This window comes from Homo sapiens, chromosome 2 (assembly GCF_000001405.40).
Source record: "Homo sapiens chromosome 2, GRCh38.p14 Primary Assembly".
Taxonomy (NCBI): Eukaryota; Metazoa; Chordata; class Mammalia; order Primates; family Hominidae; genus Homo; species Homo sapiens.
The window spans coordinates 160,193,456-160,209,568 of record NC_000002.12 but is presented as its reverse complement, the minus strand read 5'-3'; the positions used below and the strand labels follow the sequence as shown (position 1 = coordinate 160,209,568).

General features: G+C 41.7%; 1 protein-coding gene across 7 annotated transcripts in view; it reads left to right on the top strand.

The window, feature by feature from the left end:
- The window catches only part of ITGB6 (integrin subunit beta 6), a 100,602-nt gene continuing 93,785 nt past the window's right edge, over positions 9,297-16,113 (top strand). For 2 of the 7 annotated variants that reach the window (NM_001282355.2, NM_000888.5), the window contains exons 1-4: positions 9,297-9,566; positions 10,311-10,390; positions 13,149-13,353; positions 13,954-14,200. In NM_001282355.2, coding sequence (NP_001269284.1) covers positions 9,506-9,566; positions 10,311-10,390; positions 13,149-13,353; positions 13,954-14,200 — 593 coding nt within the window. In that variant the 5' untranslated portion in view covers positions 9,297-9,505. The remainder of the gene's footprint in view (positions 9,567-10,310; positions 10,391-13,148; positions 13,354-13,953; positions 14,201-16,113) is intronic. The other 5 variants (NM_001282353.2, NM_001282389.2, NM_001282390.2 and 2 more) reach the window with 5 other exon arrangements.

Genomic DNA, 16,113 nt, shown 5'->3' with positions numbered 1-16,113 from the left:
CTGCTGATGAGCAGATGGTATTCTCTCTCTGAAACAGCTGGAGAACCCTGGTGGTGATGGTGGGGTTATTGATTCAGGGCCTCAATAACTGCTAGAGTCATCGTTGATCCCTTGATTTCTCTCCCTCCCTATGAGGAATCTGTTTGTAAATCATGTCTATCTTGGAAATATATCCAGAATCCAAACACTTCTCACTTCCTCCTTTACTCCCACCATAGACCAAGCTGTCATAATCTCTGCTGAAACAGCCTGCAATAAGGCCCCCCAGCTTCCATCCTTATCGTCTTATAGTCTGTGCATACTTGCCACCTTATAAGCTACATCATGTCCAACCAAAACTCCATAAAAGCTTCCCTTCTCACTCAGAATACAAATCTGGAGCCCTGACCATCGCCCCCCCGAACCCACCCCTCCTTCATGAGCTGCCCTCTTCCCTTTGCCTGTCTGGCTCATCTCCTCTGGACTCCTTGAGTTCACCTACTCACTCTGCTTCAGCCTCGCTCGCCACCTTGCTTGTCCACAAACCATCCCGTACCAGGACCTTGCACTTGCTCTTCCCACAGGCAGGACTGCTTGTCCTCCAGAGAGCCCTGCGATGCCCTCCCTCCTTTCCCCAAGGCTATGCCTAAACACCACCTGAGCAGAGAGGCTTTGCTGGCCACCCCACCTTGGCCACTCTCTGACCCCTTGCCATCCTTTATTTTTCTCAGCATTTGTTACCATCTGACATCTTTATTTGTTCGTGTGTTTCTTGTCTGTCTCTCCCACTGGAATGTAAGCTCCATGAGGCAGAGACCCTGTCGGTTTTAATCAACACTGTGCTCTCAGAACAGTGCCTGGTCCATTGTGGGGTCTCCACAGGCGGCTGCTGAAGCAATAAATGAGTAAATGAAAAAAGAAGGCTCAGCAGCTCTGCAAGCTGTGAATGAGTGAACCACTCGGCAATCAGTGTTTGTTCATGTGACGTCTTGCTATTTGTTTCACAGATAGGAAAAAGGGGCCTAACGAGTCTAGTTCTCAGAGTCAATTCAGAATAAATTCACATCCAATGGTATTTTTCTGGAAAATCTCGTCTTTGGATTTATTCCACAAACTAAAAGACAGAAAGAGTTCAATTCTTTTAGACTTCAATATAATTTCTGAACCCTGACTGCATGGGCCTCTGGAGCAGGCCTAACTCACAGGACAGGCTCCCTGTAGCTGGCAGTGTGACTGCCAGGCTCCAGAGTAGGGTGGGGTGTGGGTGGTAACTGTGAAGTGCCGGGGCTGCCTGTGGCTCAGAGGCCGGAGTTCATCCTGAGTCATCTCCCGACCACAGGAAATGCCCACAGTCGTGCTCTCCTGGACTCAATGCCAGGCCCTGGCTCCTGACCAGCAGGCTCAGCTTCCCCTGAAGGGCCAGGCAACATGTTTTGTTTCATTTTGTTTTTAAGTGATTTGTACTGACTTTAAAGCAGAGAAAGATGGTACAATCCAGGACCACATCTTTGTCTCATTTTTGGCAGCCAATGATCTACAGGATAAGCAACAAACAAACCCAAAAGGAAATCACTAGACACAGAGCTAGAGCTGGAACCAGAGCCCTGAGATAGACAGGCGAACATATTTTTCAAGTTCCTCGTGGAATTTCACTTCTTGTTGGCATCTTTTTGATGATTCTTTGTACATCTCTTATCTACCAGGAGGCGGTTTGCAGGGTGATTCTGAACTCAGGTGGGAGGGTAGCGATCTGTCTCCAGGGCCCTGTTTTCTGAGCAGTGAGGGAAAGTTGTGTAACTTTTCCATGCCTCAGTTTCCTTATCTGGTAAATGAAAATAGAATAGTCCCCATTTTATTGGGGCCTTGTGAGAACAAAATAGGGCTACCCTAATACAATATTGAATGATGCCGGGCACTTGGTAAGTTCTCACTAAAATGAGCAACAATAAACATGCATCCCAAGTGAAACCAAAGGAGGGTTTACAGGAAACTGAGAGAGCTTCAACCTAGGCTCCAGTGTGCACAGGTGCCTGGGAGTATCTGGGAGCTGCGGGTGGCTCCAGGTGGGATGGAAGCCAGATTACCATCGGGAAGCGTTTTTTAGAAAGCATTTCTGGTGAAGTGCCTGAGGTGATGTTAAGAAACAAAGAGACTGGAATTTTCAAGCTTTCAGTAATCTGTTGTCATGGGTTTTCCCCCCTGATTTGAAATAAATATACACTTTCACACATGATTTATTTCCAGTTTTGCATTTCTTTTTTTTTTTTTTGAGAGATCTCGCTCTGTTGCCCAGGCTGGAGTGCAGTGGTGCAATCTTGGCTCACTTCAACCTCTGCTCCTGGGTTCGAGTAGTTCTCCTGCCTCAGCCTCCCAAGTAGCTGGGACAATAGGCACGTGCCACCATGCCTGACTAATTTTTGTATTTTTTGTAGAGATGGGGATTCACCATGTTGGCCAGGCTAGTCTCGAATTCCTGACCTCAAATGATCCACCTGCCTTGGCCTCCCAAAGTGCTGGGATTACAGGTGTGAGCCACCACATCTGGCCTGCATTTCTTTTCTTAAAGAAGGCCTCCCAAAAGGTATAATCTTTAGGCCCCACAAAACCTGGACTCATCCCAAAATGGTGTAATGAAATCTTCGCCATATTACTGAAAGGTGGATATTATCCCTTTTTCATAGTCTCAAAAGTAAAGTGTTCAGAGATAAACACTCTCCCCACAGATAGACAGGAGGACCTGGCAGGACTGCAATTTTGAACCCAGGACTCCCTACGTCCAAAACCAAACTCTTCCCACTACACTCAGCTTCCTCCCATTATGGGCATCATGATGGCTTTAAAAAGTAAGTGCCGGACTCAAATGGATATCCCTATGCCAATGTTCATCGCAGTACTCTTCACAAGGGCCAAAAGCTGGAAACAGCACATCCATTGACAGATGATTAAGCCATCAAAATGTGGTATATCCATACAGCGGAATATTATTCAGCCTTTAAAAGGAAGGAAATGCTGACACATACCACTACATGGATGAACCCTAAAGACATTATGCTAACATGAAATAGGCCATTCCCACAAAAGGACAAATATGTTTCCACTTATGTGATGCACCTGGAGTAGTCAGACTCATGGAGACAGAAAGTAGAATGCTGGGTGCTGGGGGTTGGTGGAGGGGAAATGGACAGTTATTGTTTAATGGGTGAAGAGTTTCAGTTTGGGCTGATGAAAAAGTTCTGGAGATGGTCAGTGGTGAGGATGGCACAACAGTGTGAATGCTCTTAATGCCACCAAATCATATACTTAAAAATGGTTAAAATGCTACATTTTATGTTATGTAAATTTTACCAAAATAAACAAAAAAGGAAACTCCAGCCTAGAATGTAAGGCCTAGGCCACAAAACATTTCTTTAGCACTTAGCATCCTGTGGGCATTGTGAACAAGGATGACAGGAAAGTCTTCTTTAAGGGAATCTTTCTGAAGGTCACAAAAAAAGGAACAACTGTATCTACTTCCAGGTTGCTTGCTCCCCCTGTTATGTACAACCACAAGTCAGCCACAGAATTCTGCAAACAACCCACTGTGCAAGGCTTTGGAGCTACCTCAGAGTGAGACCCAGAGACAAAGCAGCCATTTACCTTGCCTTCTTTTAGCTACTCGCAATGAAACGTTTTCACAGAAAGACACCTGGAGGTGGAAGACTTGTCACCGGTACTTCAGATGAAGCAGGTAGCACAGCAAGGCCCGCCCAAGAGCAGACAGCCATGACTAAAGTCCCTGGTTTCCAGTTGGTTCCCAGCCAGGTTGACTCAGGATTTCCTCTCCCAGGAGTGTTGTGAGGTGCCCCGGGGCAGGCCCAGCTGGGGCCTGGACTGTCTTTATTTGATGTGGATGAATGGCTGGGTCTGGGAGAGACTCAAGCTAACTGCAGTGACTCAGACACCGGTTCACTGGCTTCCTGAAGTCAGAGCACCGCTGAGGACAGCCCATTTCTAAGTCTCCGAAGTCAGGACCAGCAGAGGGGCGGAGTGCAGAAGCTCTGTGTCCCTGAGCTCTGAGCTGCTCTCTCCACCCCCTTGCTGCTTAGCTGAGGCCCCTTGAGGAGGTTCAGACTCCCACATGGAGTCACAGCCCCCTAGGCTGGGGTTCTGAGCAATCCGGATGGTAGGATTCCATCTAATGAATCTGACCAACCTGTCTGAAAATGTGGATGGTATGACAGAACCTTTGGATGTTAAAGAATGTAAGATCCTCTCAACCACCCACAAGTAATGGGAATTTGCTGTAAGAATACACATTGCTTTAAAAGAGACGGGATCCTGGGGAAAGCTAAGAGCCAGGCCTCCCAGAGATCCAAACTGGACAGGCATTTGGGATCCACGGCAGCTCTAGGCCTGGGCCGTGCTCCTTCCCCCCGGCAGAGTGAGTTTGTAGATCTGACTCTAGCACTCTTCAGTTTGTGTGGCTGAAGGCCTTTCTTTGCTGATTGCATATTGGTCCTCTCATCTCCCACCCCATGTAGCTTTCTTCTGCCTTGGGCTTCTGCCTCTATGTAGCTGCCGAGTCCTCCTAACATTGACTCTGGAAGCACCTCATTCCCTCCAACCTTATGTGCTCTCTCCATACATCCTGCCAGCCTCACCTCCCATTACCAAACTCCTGATTTTCCATTTGTATTTCCCATTTCAGATTCTACATACATAGAAACAGAGGTAAGTAATCCATTTGGCTTGGCTAAGGAGACACAGTTTTCATCTGGGGACTTTACAGGATGCTGGCATCTCATGGATTGACAGCTCATGGGACAGGCAGGGCCGCCACCCTCCACAGCAGGGTGGATGTGGTACTTTCCAAAAGAGGACACCAGGCACCCTCCTTAGGAAGCAAGGCTATGTCTTCCCGGTGTCTTGCCCCTTGGTACAAATTAGCCAGCAGTCCCAAGGTGCAAACAGAGTGGATAGATATTCTTTCATAACATTATTATACTTTATATTGTCTCAAATTCCCCCCTGCCTTTTCTTTACGTTGCATTTTAAGCTTTTTCTCAGCTTTCGGCACAACCCAAGCAGGGAACACATTTTCCCTTTCCTAATTGTATTATTTACCTTCCTAAACCATTCTTTCATTTACTCATCTGTTTACTCAATATCCATGAAGTACCTGCTTTGTAACTGGTGAAATACTAGACAATGAAGACTTAAAATTCACCCATATTCTCAATATAAACATTAATTGACTACTTACAAAGTGCCAGGCATTGTGTTACTTGCTAGGAATAGAAAGATTCCTGAGACACAGTCGCTGTCTGATACATAGCAAGAATTGAATAAATATTTGTTGAGTAAAGGCAACTATTTTGACAATTACAAGCAGAGCAAAAATGGCTATTCTGGGGAATGTCCACAGGAGGGGAGGCCTAGAGAAACCAAAAAGTGTTTCCTGCAGACACTAATGTTTACACTGAGACCTGGAGGGCAAGCTGAATTAGCCAAGTGAGAGGCATGAGAGGCAACCCAAGGCCTGCAGGAAGAACAAATGGTTTGTGTGAAGGCCTGAAAATTAGGGAGGGTGTGCACTGGAGGGGCAGCCATGGGGGACAGAGAATAAATCAATCAGTGTGATTATGATTCTAGGACTGAGATGGAAGTCTTTATGTGGGATGGCACAAGTCCATTTAAATACATGGTCAAATTGTGGTTTTAGAGTTCTAGGACCTTGTTGCTGCCTGCATCTGGTTGTCAGAGGGACATGAGGATGATCTAGAAGGGGTATGTACCACTTCCACTCGTATTCTGTTGGCAAGAGCTGGTTGTTGGGATTTTCTTAGCTGCAAAACAGGCCAGGAGAGGTAGTCTAACTGTGTTCTCAGGAAGGAGAGATTGTTGGTGGCAGCTAGAACCATGGAGAGTTTCCAGGGATTGGCATATCCAGAGCTGGGCAGCCACCCCGATCCAGCTCCTCTAGAGTGCCTGCTAGCGGCTGCCAGGGAGGTCTATGGGCAGACAGGCAACTCAAGACCTGGGGAAACCTCTGGAGCCCAGGGCAGCACTTGTCAGTCCAAGGCAGTTTTGTAGGATGTAAGATCTTTTCTTCCAAAGTGAGGTTTGAAAGTTGCATGTTCAGTCTCCAGACAAAGGTGGATTTTGTGTGGGAAATTGTCAAGAACTATGAAGGGCCTGGGCTTTTACCTGACTTGCAAGCTGACAAGTTAGCTTGTCATGGATTTGTGGGTACTGATGGAGACATGCGATGCCTGCATCACAGAAAAAGAACTTTTTAATTATTTTTTTTTTTTAAGAACTTTTTAATTCACAGCAATTGCAGTGGTCAGAGTGTCAGCACATTCTTTCACAGTTCCCCAATACCATTTCCCACAAGATGACACAAAAGAAAGAGGTGACTCCTGCACATGTAGTAAGATGTGTTATAAGAGAAGAACTTTGAGTTTAGGGAAACTGAACCTTTTATAATGGGCAGTAAACAGGCCTACTCTTTGTTCTGCAGGTTGACACTGTCTCTATCTTCCAAAGCTGTAAGCAATTTTTCCTTTTCCCTAAAGAGGGACACTGTCTGTATTTTCAAAGGCCGTTCACTTTATAAACATCCTGGAAAAGAGAGTCTAGAAAAAAGGCAGCCAGGTCCTCTGCTTGTAAGATGTGCAGAAATGTGAGAGACACTTGAATTTGTCTTCCAACAAAGACAGGTTCCTCTTTAGCAAGATGAAGTGTTCTTTAGATAGAAGCTTCCTTTACTAAATCCTTCTCCTCTTGATCTACAGATATCTAGAGGCCCCAGGGCTCAGTCCTCAGAGCTCTTCCCTATATACATTCGCTTCCTGGAGGGATCTCATTCAGCCACATATCTCTGAACACCATCAGCCTCATATCTTTAAACCCATGCTGATAATCCCAAATTTACAGTTTGCTCTTTGACATTGCCCACATTTCCAGACCTAGATATCAAACCTGCCTATGTGGCATCTTCACTTGGTTATCTTCTAGCCATCTCAAACTTACCATGTTCTTGATCCTCATCCTCCACATGAAACCTGATTCTTCCTCAATGTAATCCCTCTCAGTAAAATGTATCACTCAGCCAGTACAATGTATCTATGCCAGACAGAAACCTCTTTCTTTCATGTTCACATCCAATCTATCAGCACAGTCCAGTTTCAAAATAGATCTTGAATCTGATCACCCCCTCCTCCTGCACCACAAACATCCTAGTCCCAGCCACGATTATCTCTGTTCTTGACAGAGACATGCATTCCTCTCTTGCCCCATTCACCTTCCAATCTTGCCGCATACATTTTCACTTCCTCAGCAGCCAGTGTGGTTCTTCTAAAATGTAAATTAAATAGTATTATTTCTCTACTTTCAACTTTCCAGTGATACACAAGGTATAGAATAAAATTCAAGGTCAAGACTACATATGATCTGACCTCTGCCCTCAAATCTGATTACCCTCTCTCTCTCCCTTCTTGTATTCCACTTGCCCTTGAAAACACCTGCCATTGGGCTGTCTCAGGCCTTCATAGTTAGCTGTGTTGTCAAAGTCATCTAGGGCTCTCTCAGATGCCAGTTGGTCAGGGAAACCCTCCCTGACTATTCTAAAGAAAATCACACACTCCCTTGCCCCTCTTTCCTTTTACCCAGACTTATGATTCATAGCCCTGGGCACTGCCTGATTTTAGAAGTCTATCTCCCTGCACTGCCCTCCAGCCTAGAATATATGCTGCATGGATCAAAAACTTGGTTGTGTTCACTGATGTAGCCTCTGCTTCAAAAATAATATTTGACAGAAAGTAAATGCCCAAGAAGTACTTGTTGAATGAATGAATAATGAATGAATAATAGTTAATACTGGATTTTTAAAATGACAATAACAGAGACACAAACAATTTGTGGCTCGATCTTTCTTCTTCAAGTTAAATCAACTAATTTTATATAAATTTTCTCTCAAAATGCATATCTTCCAATTCTTCAATAATTCTGGATTGTTACCGCAAAATTCTTGCCATGTTTTTCCAGCTTCTTGGATATGATGGAGTTCAAAATTGAACATAACATAGGCTTCTGAGAAAAGCCTAGGTAGTCTATAATTAGTTTCTCTCTTTCTTTGGTTTTTTTTTTTTAATTATTTTATTTTAGTTTTTATTTTTGTGGGTATATAGTCGGTGTATATATTTATGGGATACATGAGATGTTTTGGTACAGGCATGCAATGTGTAATAAACACCTCATGGAAAGTGGGGTATCCATCCCCTCAAGCATTTCTCCTTTGTGTTACAAACAACCCATTTATAGTCTTTTAGTTATTTTTAAATGTAGAATTAAATTATTATTGACCATAGTCCGTTTCCCTCTGTTTACAGGTTTCACATGCTTACCCAGGAATGCTCCTTGAAAAGATAATCTCCTCAGACATAAGCCTGGCCACAGAAAAGTCTCTCTAAGGTCAGCAGTTTCTAGAGTGACGAAGTGAGAATTCGATTCTTATCTGTTCACAGACTCTACAAATCTCAAAACACCTTCCTGAAGAACACCCTGGGGGAAAAATACAAAAAACCTCATGGATTTAGCCATAGATCATATATATTTTGAATTGTCACTCTTTCACTCAACAAATAAATATCTCCTATGTGCCAAATCATGAGCTAGAGGTTGGAACAGCACATTGCATAGAGAACTTGGTCCCTAGCCTGAGGGATTCAGAATCTTGGGCACCATCATTTCTGTTTTCATCATTGTTGTCATCAGTGTCTTTTGAGACATTCTTATTTTGATCTCCTTTGATTTTTATATATTATGATTATTTCCAATATAATTTTAAAATAAGAATTTTATACTTATGGAAAAATATATTTCATCTAATTTGAAAAAATAAGGAAACAGTGCTTTGCTTTCCCTAGCCTTCCTTCTCATTTACTGTAAGATAATAATTTTTCTTTTTCAGGGTTCGTTTCAATTTTTTGCAAAGGATTTAGCAATGAAACACTAAAATCTCAGGCATTTTCATTAAGCTCATTTTTTACTTTCCTCATATATAGCCTATATGCTTTATTTAATCTTTATTCTTTACATTAAATTAAAATTATTTTTAAAATGACTATATTTCTATTGCTGTTGTGACTTTTCATTGATCAATATTTCACTAAAGATATTAACTTTCTCTAGGATGCAGAGAGACTCATAGAACTTACACCAAAATTTCTACTGAATGAATTTCCCCACCTTCTTGGTGATTGTACACCTGCCTTCCTTATAAGGAGAACAAGGAAGTAAATCATGTTGAAGTTGCTTTTAAACACAGCTTTTCTGCTTTACCTGTCCAGGTAGCCTCTGTTTTCATTTCAGTCTTAATGAAAACTTTCTAACTTATATCTCAAGTTTCTTTTCAAAGCAGTGTAAGTAGTATTTAAAATGTTATACTTCAAGAAAGAAAGACTTTAACGATATTCAGCGTTGGTCTTGTAACGCTGAAGGTAATTCATTTTTTAATCGGTCTGCACAGCAAGAACTGAAACGAATGGGGATTGAACTGCTTTGCCTGTTCTTTCTATTTCTAGGAAGGAATGATCACGTACAAGGTAAGACCTGCGTTCTCTGATATATTACTTTCGTGGTATGCTTGACAAACCTGTCATTTGGTTCAGAAACTAGATCTGAAGTCATGTTTTATTTGATCTGTTCCATTGCTCTTTTGTGACTGAGTGAACACTTTAACAAATTACAGACAAACACCGGGCAGTTCCCACAGTGAATGCTCTAGGCTTAAGGTAAATAAATACAAAGGTTGCACAGGCATTTTAATGAGGAGAATTAAATAACATTACTGCCCAATGGAACTTAGTGCCAGTATGATAACCATTTTTGAAACTTTTCTATTTTATTCTACCACAAGATCTTCCACTTAGGAGTAATAATCTTGAAAGAGAAAGAGGATTTATTTCAAAAACAGAAATAACTTGTTTAAGAAAGAAGCATTTTTTAATGGTTGCAAGTAATTTTTAAAAATTAAAGTGGCACACATTGGCTAAGAATAATAAATAGGATAATCCTATATTTGTGAACTTTCACATTTTAAGAAAAAAGAGCATGATAATTTTGGCTTATAAGACATACATAATTTTTAATATACATACACATATTTTACATGTGATAGATGTAAAATACAAACTTTTATGTGAATTGCTAACATTTCGAGGACTGATTTTGGATACTAAACTAAACTTTGATGTTGTTTTGTTCAAGTAATGTAAGAGCCATCAGTCTCATAAATGGAATGACTGAAAGTGTACTTAATCCCTGCATCTTGCTGGGTCTAAACCTAGGTGGCTGTGCCCTGGGAGGTGCAGAAACCTGTGAAGACTGCCTGCTTATTGGACCTCAGTGTGCCTGGTGTGCTCAGGAGGTAAAATAAATGACCTCAATGTGTTTTTAAAACCTGTCTGCAGTTAAATTCATGTTAATTTCCTCAGTGATATTTCTGATAGTGACTTGCTTTTTTGTGGAGTTGTATAAGTAAAACAAATCAGGAAAGGAGAAGGTGAGCATTGGTAGATCAAAATGGCATTCATGTGATTACTTTCAAAAACAATTTGTAGAAGGAGTGGATGTCAAATAATTCGGAAAAAAATTTTAACTTGGGATTTTTTTATTTTACCTGGTTCCTTCTTTTATTGTAAAGCCATTTCTACAGGTTACATGTAAAATATGGAGGCTGTCTGGATAATCAGAGTTCATGGAGATGATATTTTCTAAAGTTAAACATACATTTGATGTTCATATTATAGTTGTATTCCCTCTGGGTACCAGGATCCATTCTGAACTACTGCTAGATTCTAAGGGATGTGTTTTAAGTTTGGGGCAAATATTACTGGTCAGATATTATCCAGTTCCTTTAAAAATGGCATTTTCATAAACTCAGTGACTCTGTACCACACCAGTGACAAAGTGCCAAATAGGAACTCCTTATCTGGTCAAACCGAAAACTACATGAAAGCAGTATGAAGATGATTGGGGACTATGTACCAAGCCATCCTAAGACACTAGAGAATGATGTCTAACTGATTCATGGTAAGGAAGAGAGGCATTAGCTTTCTGAATTTTAAAACAAGTCTCTATGCACTGGATCTCATAAAGATAATCTAAACATAAATCAAATCATACGAATACCAAGTGCAGCAAGAGCTGAGTAGCATGCTCAAAGAGCAACAAACCTCGACACCAAACTCAGAACTGGGTTCTACCTGTGGAAACCCAAACTCCGAGTTCAGTGTGTATCCATGAAGTGTGGCCTCACAGACAAGAGAGCACAGACACAGCTCAGTCCCTTACTACGGCCTTGACCAACGCGGCCACAAAAAAAATTCAAGAGAATTATGCTTTTTTTTAGTTCCTGTATCAAAGCAGGATTGAGAATATACAAGAAGGGAAAAAATCACATGTTTTTTGGATATTGACTTCTTGAAGAAGTATTAGTTTCATGCCAGAGAGATACAACAACAAATCAGCCTAGAATTTTCATTTAAATGCATTTTTCAGCATTTACTTAAGAGAGTTTCCTAAGTTGCTGCTGATAACTTTACTTGTGTATAATACTTGGTAGCCAAATTGTTGTCAAATTGTAAAACCAAATTATTCTAAGAGGCCACTCTAATATTAGAAGTAGTTATGAGGATGCCAGTCGAGGCAGTTGGAGCAAAAAGTAAATTAGGCTTCTGCTTAGGGCAGATAGAAAATAGGTCATGTGGTTAACACCACCTCTGATCTTCTGGCAAAGGCTATGAATAGAGGTGATAGCAATGACACTGTGTTGAGAAGGATTCTGAAGCCTTGGCCAGCCACTGTTTCCCTTGGTTACATCATGGGAAGTTACAGTTTGCCATGCCTGGCCTAGAGCTTCAGACACGCACAGGCCTACTGATAGATAACAAATTGTATTCTCAAAATCAATTTCAGAAGAAATCTAACTTTCCTAGTTGATGAAAACAGCAAGAGTGGCTTGGAGTTCTAAGAGGCAAGGAAAATAGTATGAGCATTGGTTTTGTTTTCTCTAAGCATGAAAGTCAATGGGCAACAAGTTCCCCTTTGCATAGTGTCATGCCCACTCTAAAGCAGCCACGCCTATCAGGTAAGACAGGTATTTAATCTATTAGCTCCATCTCCCTGTTTTGGGTGTTTCAGAATTTGAACGGCCACATCTCTGCTGGGAAAGACTACATCTCACTGCCCCTCTGCTATCCTTGTGGGAAACTCCTGTGTCCCACGCAGAAAAGCAGACTTTTTTTTTTTGAGACGGAGTCTTGCTCTGTCGCCCAGGCTAGAGTGCAGTGGCATGATCTGGGCTCACTGCAAGCTCTGCCTCCCGGGTTCACACCGTTCTCCTGCCTCAGCCTCCCAAGTAGCTGGGACTACAGGCACCAGCAAAAAGCAGACTTTTAACCCATCTTTTTCACTTTTCTTCCTCACTTTCAAATCTTGGAGAAAGTTATAAAGGATCTTGAACTAGGATACTTCAAGACTCTGGGTTTAAGTCCACAAGAGGTCAATTTAGGTGAAGTAATGCTGCAATATAAGGGTAACAGACCGATGCATACAACTGGCAGAGAGTGCTAGATGGGGGAGATGTTGCAATCCCTACCCTTTAGGAATCTGCAGAATCTCTCTTTATCACTAGATTTGGGGATTGACACCCTGGAGCCCTTGGACAGTGTGTCAATTCCCAAATCTAGTGATAAAGATTTGATCATGGAATCAAACCTACAGGTCACCCTGAGCAGATAAATTCATGGGATGATGTCAACTCTGTGAACCCAACAGTTTCAAGGATCTGGTCATGGCCTGGGACAAAGCTTTAAAGAACTGAGCTTAAGACACAGACACACACACACAGACACACACACACACATGCAATTGTTACGTGAATTCAATTGAACATAACTGAAAGGAGACTCCAGTTTTACTCAGAATTTTACCGGCAGAATTCTCTGGTTATTCACCTATAACTTAACTTTAGACCTATAATCAATGTTAGTCATGTAGGGATACAATATGGCAAGATGCTTAACTAGCAAATTGTGCAGAAAAACTTTCAATTGCTGGTATCTTATAAAGAAATTCAGATTTGTTTTCTTTTTCTGGTTATTGTTTTTCTTTTTCTTTTTTAGAATTTTACTCATCCATCTGGAGTTGGCGAAAGGTGTGATACCCCAGCAAACCTTTTAGCTAAAGGATGTCAATTAAACTTCATCGAAAACCCTGTCTCCCAAGTAGAAATACTTAAAAATAAGCCTCTCAGTGTAGGCAGACAGAAAAATAGTTCTGACATTGTTCAGATTGCGCCTCAAAGCTTGATCCTTAAGTTGAGACCAGGTATGTTAGGATTTGGCTCATGTAAATAGATCTAATGTCATATATGGTAATTCTGCTACCTTGCTAATGTGTCTTGTATCATATTACATATCATTGATTATTATGACTCGAATTTCCCATTCTTAAGGAAATAGAAAATTATTAGGCTCACACATTTCTCTATTCACATTGGCCCCGGCACTCCAATTGTGTTACTAAAAAAGCCTTCTCTAATAGTAACCATTTAAATTATTCAAATGTTGTTAAGGCTTACCTCACATTTCTTCAAGGGTTGTAATGTAGATTTAAACTCTCTTTTATTTGGTTCTCCTTTTCTAAAACAACACACAAAAAATTCAGCTTATCTTCTATCTAAATGGATGCTAGTTCTCCCAAGGAGAGATAAAATATCCTAACTTATCCTCCAATAGTTCTAAACTCACTGCTGAAAGAATTTCATGGGTTGGTTCTTTTAGGATCTTGACCACACAGTTAATAAAATCATATGTATTTCAGTAAGTTCTTATTGAGGTGAAATAGCCAGCTGACCCAGCGAGTGGCCAGTAGCAAATAAATCTCAGTGTGTTTTCCTGGGTTTGCTTTTCCTGTTGGGCTTTGCAGGTGGTGCGCAGACTCTGCAGGTGCATGTCCGCCAGACTGAGGACTACCCGGTGGATTTGTATTACCTCATGGACCTCTCCGCCTCCATGGATGACGACCTCAACACAATAAAGGAGCTGGGCTCCCGGCTTTCCAAAGAGATGTCTAAATTAACCAGCAACTTTAGACTGGGCTTCGGATCTTTTGTGGAAAAACCTGTATCCCCTTTTGTGAAAACAACACCAGAAGAAATTGCCAACCCTTGCAGGTAAGTAAATGATTCTCTTGGCATCTTTGTGCGCTGATTTTCTGTGGAGATACTCCCGCTCTGAGCTGCACTTGCCAGGAGCTTGCTAACTCCCTGGCATTTCTGCCTTGTCTGGTTGGATCTCAGCAGTTCTCTCAGAGGCCTAGGTTGCTTAGAGTGGAGGTGAGGTCATCTGAACTACATGGTTCTAGCCGTGGGTCCTTGAGGCCTCTGCATTTGCCTCCCAGTATAGGGCAGGATGTGGCAAACCAGAATGCGTGTTATGCAGGCGAGGGAACCAAGACTTTCACCATAGGCTCCACTGGATGGTGCCCAGCCCCAGCCTCTCAGACACTTTCTAGCCTCAGTGGCCACCACTTTCTGAGGTTATTTGAGAATAACCTTCACTTTCCCAGAGTCTTTCTCCATGACAATGACTTCTGGCAAAATAATAATTTTTGCAACTTTCTCTGACATACTTTGGGAAATATTGGTTTCTCTTATTGCTTGGAGAAGGCCAATGCAGCCTTCACTGCTGTTAAATTCAGTAGTAAATCACTCCATAGGCAATGACTCCATTCTCATATGCTATAATAAGCTATTAAAACCACACATTATGCAGGTGATGGTGGAGGACAGATTGCTTTGTGACGGCTTACCTGTGCAGTGAATGACATGTTCAGAATCAAATATTCTCCTATTGAAAATGAGCTACCATATGCTCTGTGCCAGATCTCGTGTGGAAGGTTTTACATACATGACCTCATTCAGCCTTCATAATAACAGCAGGTTAAACAGCAGGTTAAAGCTAGCTTAATAACATCAGCCCTATACTCAGAGGAAGTAAGAGGCTCTGAGAGATTAGCTATTTGCCCAGGGCCACATGACTAATCCATGATCTGTACCAAGATTTGATTTGTCCCAAAAGCAAGCCCATTACTGCTATATATCTAGTATATATGAAATAATGTTCCAAATATTTATTAATTTATAATACTTTTATACACCAAAGGCATCAATCTCTATAAAAGATAAACAGCTTTTATTATACCATTTAAAAAACATCTCAGTGTACTTCCCAACTACAATCTAACATAATAAAAAATAATTTAACCATAAAGGAAATTTATCAATGATTGTAACACTTAGAAATTTTGTTTGGTTGCAAGTATCTGAGACAGTGGCTTAAAAAGAGAGTATTTTTGTTTTTTGTGTTTTGTTTTGTTTTGTTTTGAAATGGAGTTTCACTCTGTCACCCAGGCCAGAGTGCTGTGGCATGATCTCGGCTCACTGTAACCTCTGCCTCCTGGATTCAAGCAATTCTCCTGTGTCAGCCTCCCGAGTAGCTGAGATTACAGGCACCTGCCACCATGCCTGGCTAATTTTTGTATTTTTAGTAGTGACTGGGTTTCGCTATGTTGGCCAGGCTGGTCTCAAACTCCTGACCTCAAGCGATCCACCCGCCTTGGCCTCCCAAAGTGCTGGGATTACATGCGTGAGCCACCGCGCCCAGTCAATATTTTCTTTTCTCTTCTACATGAAATACAGAGAAAGGCCATTCAGGGGTAGTATGGCAGATCCATAAACATGAGGAATCTAGGCCTTTTTCCCCCTCTCTGCTTCACCATTATTGACACTTGGATTTTATGTTCACAGTCCAAGAATGTTGCTGGGGCACTAATCATTACTTCTTCATTTCAGTCAGAAGGAAAGGAGGAAAATAGGGGCAATAAGGGCACTGTCTGCCCACTCCCTCGCAACTCCTTTTAATGTATAGTTGACATGCCTAAAATGCACAGATCAAAAATGTTCAGTTTCATGTGTTTTGATGGTTAAATATACCATTGCAATCAATATCCAAAACATGATGTAGAATATTTCCATCACCTCAGAAATTTCACGTTACAGTCAGTTCTACCACTTCAGAGGCAACC